At 37.2% G+C, this 9983-nt stretch overlaps 1 long non-coding RNA gene across 1 annotated transcript, besides 1 other annotated feature; it reads left to right on the top strand.

Moving 5' to 3' along the window:
• The first annotated feature begins 379 nt into the window (after nucleotides 1-379).
• LOC124902186 (uncharacterized) lies at nucleotides 380-8002 on the top strand. The gene is made up of 2 exons (XR_007061599.1): nucleotides 380-580; nucleotides 7514-8002. It is a non-coding gene; the product is annotated as an uncharacterized LOC124902186 (long non-coding RNA).
• Nucleotides 7555-8925: an enhancer, noted in NCBI's record as "VISTA enhancer hs765". NCBI's record gives its function as "enhancer in: midbrain (mesencephalon)[4/5]" and the evidence as "EXISTENCE:transgenic organism evidence [ECO:0001131][PMID:17130149]".

Genomic DNA, 9983 nt, shown 5'->3' on the forward strand with positions numbered 1-9983 from the left:
TGAAATGTTACAGGTTTGTCTGTTACTGTTAGCTATTAACTAGAAGTTGGCATATTGTTCCCTAGTCCTTGGAAATATAGTTGCAATAGACAATATGGAAGTAAAACAGGGTTGGGCCATCACATGGCTCACCCATGGCCAAGAATTCCGAAGCACATAGTGTAAACTTAGTTGTGTGGTTTGTTTGGATCTAGTTTCCCCTGTGTCTCCCTGCAGCAGCTATGGGGATTATTAATAGAAATTCTGTACTAGGGAATGCCTAGTGAGTTTAGTAGTAGGGAAACCACCCATGTGTGATGATCAAAAATGTATATGTCAAGATGGTATTGCACAATATATTAGGAAGGAATTATTACTCTGCTTGGTCAAATAATTCATTCTGTCTCCTTTTGTGACCAGGTACTTTGAAAAATGTTTAATTCAATGATAAAGAGCCTGCCCAAGAGTTTAAAATACAATAAAAACAAGAACGTACATCAATTGTTGATCCCATCTGATGGCAGTCTGTCCTTGAGCATATAGCTAAAAGGATTTTCTCTGTATCAAGTGGCACAACTACGGTGGACATTCTGGAAACCAGGTAGGTGGCTGAGTTCCTCACTGTCATATAGGAAGCAGTGAGGGCCTGGGGGCTGTGGGTTAACAGCTGACTTTGATAATACCTGTGACTACCTTCTTCTAGCCACTGTTCCTTTAATAAACCTCTGCACCAGACAGAAGATTGCTGTATATTCTGTTTCTTTACTGACATTGCAAATGAAGAACACTACTCATTAAGGAATTTAGTAATTCTTGAAAGAGGGAAGAAAAAGAAGCTGGTATTTTTTGTGACTGAAAGGAAAACCAGAGAGAGAACATTTCCCAGATCACAGAAATCACGACTAGAAAATGCAGAATTTAACCCTGAGTACTTGGTATTCTGCAGACCATCCCCTAGGATCAATGCAGATAACAATTATCAATGCAGATAACTTCAAGGCTCAACACTGCTGGAGCTTCCTCATGCTTCATCAAGAGCCATTCAAATTCCTTTGAAGATGAATAAGTAAACATTGCTTAATTCCAGCCCTTTTTCCTTAGTGGTTATTTTTCCTGCCTTTAAATTGGCTCACTGAGAACCCAGGTTAAAAACAGTACACCAAACTCATAATTCTCTGTATTATATGATGTATGCAATGTTGTTGATTTCGTTCTAAAATCTTTGCTCAGGGCAGAAAGCAGCTTTTTGGTAATTTCATCTTCTCCATGACTCAGGTTCATTACAGCACTGGCCTTAAACTTGAGCTTGTGTGGATTTGAACTTAGAACTCTGGCTTTTCAATTCATGACCTTAGAAACAGATATTACTAAGAAAAGCCCACTGTAAGGTTTTGTTGCTTTGTTTCAGAGGCTAAGCATCAGGCATTACCTGTCAGATTTTCAAACTAGAGATCCTAAATAATAAAACAATATCTATAACTGAATAAGTTTGGGGGAGTTTTGTTTAAAAAGAAATTTGAATAAATATCCCTTCAGTTGGGAGCATAAGAGAAGTCTTCCAATAGTGACTATCTTGAGGGATCAGCTGTGTAGCTATATTCGAAGTATTTGTAAGCTGATAATGAAAGCCAGCCTTATTCATTTATATTCATATTTTACACATATTTCTCTGGTGTTTTGCTCTGAATTTATGGAAGACCTTTACATATTTTAGATAATCCTGACACTATCCATATGAGATACATGGATAAAGATTAAGATGATGGGGAAGAGGCCTCTCTGATTGTAACTGTAGTCTAAATCTAAAGGAAGGCTTGAGAGAGAGAGAGAGAGAGACAAAAAAAAAAAGATTGACATTTTTCATATGTAAATTCTTTCTGGAATTATGCTATGTAAGTTTGTATCGCTTTCTCTACCACCTCCTCCAGTTGCTCACTAAAATATTTCAGTCTGTCGAAATTGTTTTTTTTTTTTTCTTTCCTGGCCCTGTCCAAAGACCTCTTCCTTCCTAAACCTTTTCTTGGTGCTTCTCTCCATAAACCCATGGAACTTGATTTTTACCTCTGTAACAACATCTACTGTATTCTATTTTGTACAATGCTTATTTGTGTCTTGTTTAACCTTGACTACAGGTTGTAAGTTCCTTGGGGGTAGATCACATCTAATTGATCTGTTTCATCCATATAGCACTTAATGTAGGATCTGGTCCAGAGTCGAAGCTAAATATCTATCTGTTAAATGAATCAAAGGAAAGTTTGAATTCCAAATTTGTTTCCCTGTAGGAAAATCTGCAAATAAAATCTTTTCTGAATCTTCCCTTCCCTTACCCAATCAATTCTAAATGTTCAGTCTTCCTTCCTAATGTTTCTTGAATCTATCATTTCTTCTTCTCTGCCATTGCCCCAGCTTAAGTTCTCAGTTTGGTTCTCCTGGGGTAGCTTTCTACCTGGATTCTCTTCAGACTTCACTCTGCCTTTACTCCTTCCTTTTGACTCACTGCTTCAACTCTTCTTCACCTACAGTTTTCTGTGTAAAATAAATAAAAAACAAGCAAAGACACCCAAAGTCAATGTCCAGTGTTCTTCATTGCCTGCTAAATTATAAACTCTTCCAACACAGGAAAGCTTATTTCCCTGTACTGGCTGACATAAAAACGCATATGCTTGTCTAACTGGACTTTTTGTTGGTTCTGGAAGGTACCTAATCCTTCTGCTATGTCCCTTTTCTCATGCAATTCTCGAATGGCCACACCTGTAAACTGCTATCTGCAACTATTGTAATCTCACTTGTCTTTCTAACCTAGTCCAAGGACACAATCTTTCACTAAGTCTTTATTTTTGTCCCATTCCCTAAATGGCATGATCTCTCCTTTGTTGAGAATTCCTCTGTCTCTCCGTCATTTGAATTCTTTCTAAATCAGGAATCATGTCAGATTCATCTCCGTATAACCTACAGCACCTGTCAGAATGCCTTGCACATGATAGGTTTCAATAAATATTTGATTGAATTAAGTCTCCTAAAATTTATTCATATTTATCCATAGAATAGAAAAGACCATTTGGTATTTCTCTAATTCTCGATATCATCTTGCAATTCCATTTTATTTCTCACTCTCAGAATGTAAATGTCACTTTACAATTCCCCAAAGGAACCTAGCTTCTTTCTTTTTTTGTGCCTTTGCTCTATATCTGCATCTCTTTTCTCTGCCATTTTAATTCTTTCTTTCACTTCTCTTCCACTATTTCCCTTCCTTCAGCCTTGTCCAAAACTCTGAGCAAACTAGTACATCAATCTAGAACATCTGACATCAGCTCACATGATCGCAAAAATTTCTTTTAGTTCCATTAAAAGTCAACAGTTTAACAAGTCAACAGTTTAACAAGTTTCACAACTTGAGAATCTGTTATGAGAAACTTAACACTTGTCTTCTGGTTAAGCTTTCTTATTTTTAACTCTGGTGTTATTTTAAAGCTGTACAGAGGTCTTTGGGGCACTAGGAAAGAAGAGTGCAGTAATTCATTAGCCAAGGAAGCTTCCATCCTGGCGTGAGGGGGTCAGTGTGGTCAAGGGAAGTGTTGTTGAGATAAAGATGCATTTATAGCTACATAGCAAAATTGCAGACTGGGAAAATCCATTGTCTGGATGCTCCAAGGGAGGAATGCTGCCATGTCTCCTTCTTGTTTCCATCATGTATTTGGGGAATATTTTATATTTTTGTCATATTGTATAATAACAATGTTGCCAGTTCCCAAGTTACCATAAGGGATTATATATCAGTGCAATGTCCCAGGAATATGAATTAAGTGAGACCTAATTTTGAAAGAACTGTGTATTGCAAAATTTAACTTTGGCTTACTCTTCAGATCTAAAAGATGACAGAGGAATAAGGAAAGTTTATGCAGGGGACAGATGGAATGAAAAGTTAATGCTTGCTAGGGTCTGAATGTTTTTGTCCGCTCAAAATTCATATGTTGAAATTCTAACCAAGGTGACGGTATGAGGAAGTGGGCATTTTAGGAGATGATTAGATCATGAAGGATGAGCCCTCATAAATGGGATTAAATGCCCTTATTTAAAAATACTTCAGAAAGCTAGCTTATCCCTTCTACCATGTGAGGACACAGTGAGAAGGTGCCACCTATGAACCAGAAAGTTGGCCCTCAGCAGACACTGAATCTGCTGGCTTCTTGATCATGGGCTTCCCGGCCTCTAGAACTGTGAGAAATAAATTTCTGTTATTTATAAGCTACTCAGTTATAATATTTTGCCACAGCAGCCTGAACAGAGTTGGACATTTCCAATCCCAAGTAAATTTTTTGAGGCACTTTCCAGATATAATTAGAAATGAATATGAAAATGAGAGAAGCAATGGTGATTTGAACCATATTTCTCCACAGAAAATATGTGGCAGCAGCTAGGGTAAAAAATAAAAATAAAAACAAAACAAAAACCCAAATCCCGTTCATGTAAAATAGTTACCATGTGATGAAAATAAATAATAAGATAAAAATAGAACATATTTTCATTGATGTCAATCATTGTTGTGTATCAGTCATAAATATTACATTACATAATAAAATGTATGTTTATTTTATGTAACTGTTATTAGTTGAATTAATCTGCTCTCAGGAATCCATTCTGAGTCATGCGTAGTTGTATTGGTAAATAAATCTCTTAACAATAATGTAGGTAACAAGAAATATCTCCTTTCTTCATACCTCTGTCTTATTATTAAACCGTGGGGATATACAGTTAGTATACAGGACAATGACACAGCCAGGGGACAGGAAACTGGATTTTCTTTGATATATAATCATGTTCCCAGTGCTTCAGTTGTTCTGCTAAAGAAACTTTATTTCTTCCACAAAGCATATCATAATATATATTTGTTTCATAAATCCTCTCACCATCGTTACAAAGCAAATAGGAAACACATATTTTTATTTCTTATATTTGAATATATAGGCTAACCTACTAGAGGTGGAGAGCCATTTGCAATGTCAAACAGACCTGGCTTTGAGGCTTCCATTTTCACTGATTAGCCAAGTAACATTGGGCAAGCTCAAATTTCTTCATTCTGGACGTTTAGTACCTATCTATCTCAGAGGTTATTCTGAGGAATTAATGAGGATATAGATCTAACACACATACACAAACACAAATGCACACACACACACACATAAGCATCCATTGCACATGCACACTTTCAGGAATAGCTGGCACATTGTAAGTATTCATTAAATGTGGATGGTAGTTTTATTATAACAAAAGCACCTACTTTTTCTTAGTGTTTTCAATGATACAATTGCAGTGTTCAATACCTCCTCCTAGATGCCTGCAGTCAAGTACTGGGATCCAACACCTGCTGGCCTGCCATGGATACTGGACAATGATCTATCTTTCGCCTTTCATGAACTCTGCATGTGCTTGTACTGTAGTCAAGATGTTGTTGTCAAGAAAGCTATGAACATCCCTGTTCTTGTCATTATATTTAAACAAAGCATTTGGCTGTCAGGCCATTTTCTTTACATTTTGTTTAGAAGTGAAAAAACCCCAAAATACTTAGCAATGCCTGGCATGTAATGAGCTCTCACAAAACATCAGCATCAACACTCTTGATGGCCTGAGCTTTAATTGGTAAGGCTCACCCTGAGAAAAGGGAAGATGGATAAATGGGCAGGCTTTATTTTTTTAATATTTTATAACTATCATTCACACAACTATTACACCATTGCCATGTTTTTAGCCTTTTTTCTTGAAATAATTTAAAATTTTCAGAAGAGTTGCAAGAAGAGTACAAAACATATTCCAATACAGCCTTGACCAATTGGCAACATTTCACCTCTGTCTGTCCCTCGCATTCTCTCTCTGCTTCTCTTCCTATGTCTTGCTCTCTCCCTCTCCTCTTCTCTTTCTTTACATAGACAATTTTTTTACACCACACTCCTTTACCCAAAATGCTTTGCCATGATGTTTTTCTTGAGTACAAATACATTCTCAGCACAATTATCAAATCCTGGATCAATATAATACTATTTTCTCTATACTGTCCATGTTAAAATTCACCAATTATTTCTAAATATATCTTTATAGTGTTTATCTTCCCTCATCCAGGATCCAAGCTAGGCTGTGTGTCGCATTTAGTTTTCTCCCTCATTTACCCCATCTAGGGTTTATATCCTTCTTCTGAGAGCTTTGTGATTGCATAGTGCAAAATTCTCTAATGAAAACTTTTTTCCCAGTAAAAAGCAAAATATTTTTGAGATATAATAGATTCTTTACAAGTAATATTAATTTTATTATGCCAAAAATAAATTAAAAAAAAAACAGAGGGACTTTATTCTCACCTTTCTAATGACTTTCACAAACGCTACTTACTTAAAAAATCTCTCGGCCAGGCACAGTGGCTCACGCTTGTAATCCCAACACTTTGAGAGGCTGAGGTGGGTGGATCGCTTGAGCCCAGGAATTCAAAACCAGTCTGGGCAACATGGCAAGGCCCCGTCTCTATAAAAAAAAATACAAAAATTAGCCAGACATATCGGTGTCTGCATGGGGGGCTGAGGTGGGTGGATCACTTGAGCCTGGAAGGTAGAGGCTGCAGTGAGCCGAAATCATGTCACTGCACTCCAGTCTGGGTGACAGAGTGAGACCCTGTCTCAAAAAAACAAAAAAAAAGCCTTTTATCATGAAAAAGCCACAGGGTTAATCCTATATTGACTTGACCTGTTTTCCAGAATGGTTTGAATATAAATTGAGTCTCTGCTAAGTGCCAGTGTGAGATCTGGATTTGGCCCTGAAATGGTTTAAAAAAGAAAAGTCTAGGTAGAACAACATATTGTATGATTTCATTTGTATAAAGTGTCTAGAAACTGCAAATCTATGGAGACAAAAAGCAGATTAGAGTTTGGTGATGGGTAGTGGAAACTGGTATTGATTGCAATCAGGCATGGGGGATCTTTTTGGAGTGATAAAAATGTTTAAAAACTGGACTGTGGTAAGAGTTGTGTAATTCTGTAAATTTACTAAAAATCATTGGATTGTATGCTTAAAACAGGTAATTTTTTCTATATAAATTATACTTAAAAAAAAGCCATGGAAAGAAGGAAGGAAAGAGGGAGGGAGGGAGGGAGGAAGGGAGGAAGGAAAGCCCAGAAAATATATCTGGCCAGAGAAGTCTTATCCATAAAGTAATTTAGGCAAATTCAAGTAAAGGCCACAGAAGACATGAGTTTCCTGTGACTGCTTTCTTACCTGTGATCTATTCTGAGCTGCCCATATATGAGGGAAAGGGCAAAGCTTAGGAGTTATCTAAACTCTGTTGGTACCTAGAAAACCTTTCTTCACTGCCACATAGAAGAGTGATTTTGTACTATTTGTTTTCCTATATAAAACTCCTACCCTGAATTCATACCAGGAGCACAGGCTCATGAAATCATGATAAAAATGAAAGAAAAGTTGTCCCCACAACTATCTTGAAAGCTCCAAAGGAAAAAAGAGCCAATGAAAGTTGCTAAACTTGTCTTCTTGACAGGTGTCTGTTTGTATGAAAATGGTTGGAAGAAACAGATCAGCACCCACATCAGCGTAATGTCTTCATGGTCTTATGCTGCAATAAAGGGAATGATGCATGCTTCACTGCAGAAAAACTATAACTGCTGAGAAGTTCTTATAAACCAATGATCTCAAAATTATTTTGGTAATTTTTTTCTTCCAAATAAAATTAGATAAACTCTACATCCCTTCACTGCGCTCAATACCCACCTTCTGTAAAAAGCATGAAGAAAACTTCAATGGACCAACAAGGCTGTAACACTGGGGGAAATGATTGATTTCACTTAAACACCACCACCAACAAAAAATGTTTAAAAACAGTTTCACGGCGCAACTTTCTCCTTGCTTTTTTTTCTTATAGTTGGAATGTATTTTATCGTCTGTCAGTTTTGCCCCTATGATATGTCCTCTTAAATTGGATCTGTAAGCCCTTCATAAAGTTTAATAAATCTTCAGCATTTCACCCTAAGGAAATTATATTAAAAACCTTCAAATGTGAAGTTGGGCCCACAGACACACAGTGCTGGGAATTTTATCACCATAATCAGCGTGTAATGAAAGCCTCTGTCGCTGTTCCTTCCCAATCATAATCTGCCTGTCTTTATGAAAAAAGGGGGGTTTGTCTGGGTTCATCTGCAAGCTTTAATTGGAAGATGTCTTCATTTCATTCCAGCCTACTGGGATAATAACTCAGCCCCGTGTTTAAACACAGGCCCTTGCCGCTGATATTTTTTCATTTAGTAAAGCATGTCTCTTTAAATGATTTAGCAAATCATCATGAATGCCAAGCCAGGGTGATTGGCAGCTCATTGCTGGTGCACCATTTGCATGACATTTGTTCTTCAGCTAAGAAAGCTGCTGCAGGTAAACAAGCAGGCCCTGTACTGACTCCCTTTGAGTCTCTTCCTGTTTATTTTCTCATAATCAAATGACATTTATGGAGCCGCAAATGCAGCTGCACATATATGAGGGAAATGCAATCAGGCTAACATGATGACTTCATTCAGGTGATATTCTGATTAGTGAAAGGACATTTTTATGACATAGGGGGCTTTTTGATTGAGAAATCTGGCACATTCCCTTTTATATAACTAATACTTTATATTTTACCTGTATTTAAATGTAAAGTCTGGACTCAAATAATTGGTTGATTAGCTGTTCACTTATGAGGGTTTCATTAAAACCCAGGAAAGCATCAAGCAGGAGGTACAAGACAAACTTCTTTGTCCCATTCAGAAGATAGTAGCTTTTTCCCCCTTCAAAGGCAAAAAAAAAAAAAAGAAAATAATATGATTTAAAGCTATTTTATAAGATCAGTGAATGTAGCTTTTTCTAAAGGAGATTTCAGAGAGGAATTTATAGTTAAACCTTGTATACCTACTTTCTAGGTCATTATTCTACCAAGGAACATGGGCAATAAAAAATTGAAGTTTTTTTATTTTTAAAACTTTTAATAGTAACATCAAATACCTTTAACAGTTAATGTGGTTGAGGAGAATGACTAAAAGCAACCTCTATCTTAGCAGGCTGGCTAGAAATGTACGCATCCGTGGGGTTTACAGAGAGAAGTATTCCTTCAGATCTGAAACATTTCCCTTGCACTATGGGCAGATATAATCTTTCAAAACTTCCTCAGCTTATCCTCCCTGAGGCTAAGCAAGGGTGGGCTATCATTTCAGCCCTGCGATAATGATACATTTTCACAATCAGCTGTCAAGTCCTTTATAAGGAGCACCTCAGACAACCTGCGACCACTCAGTTCTTTATGACCTAAAACAATCACTCTAGGAAAAATTCTGTCTTTTTTATCACTTCAATATGAGAAAAGAATGGAGAAATAGGCTTATTTTAAGGACAAGAAAGTAGTTCTAAGCAACTCAAATTTTATCCTACTATTTTATTTTTTTGCCATTATGATTTTGAGTTTCTATTCCGGATAAGTTCCCCACCACCCCACCCAACCCTGTGATTTCTTTCTCTTTAGCTCTATGAATCTTTTTTACACTTTTATATTATGGTTTTTAGAAACTGGGTCTCTCTCTGTCACCCAGGCTAGAGTACAGTGGTGTGATCACAGCTCACTGTAATCTCAAACTCCTGGGCTCAAGCAATCCTCCTGCCTCAGCCTCCCAAGTAGCTAGGACTGCAGGCGCACACCACCATGCCTAGAATTTTTTTTTTTTTTTATTTTTTGTAGAGACAGGGTCTCGCCATATTGCCCAAGCTGGTCTCAAACTCCTGGCCTCAAATGATTCACCTGCCTTGGCTTCCCAAAGCACTGTGATTACAGATGTGAGCCACCATGCCCAGTCCTATGAATCTTAACAAGAAATGATTCAACCAACCCACAAGTCCTAGAATTTCCCCCAGTTAATCAGGGATGAAACAAAAAATGCCGCCCCAAAGCAATACTCCGAACTGAACAGACACTACCTATTCTGGGGCTAGTT

This window comes from Homo sapiens, chromosome 9 (assembly GCF_000001405.40).
Source record: "Homo sapiens chromosome 9, GRCh38.p14 Primary Assembly".
NCBI lineage: Eukaryota > Metazoa > Chordata > Mammalia > Primates > Hominidae > Homo > Homo sapiens.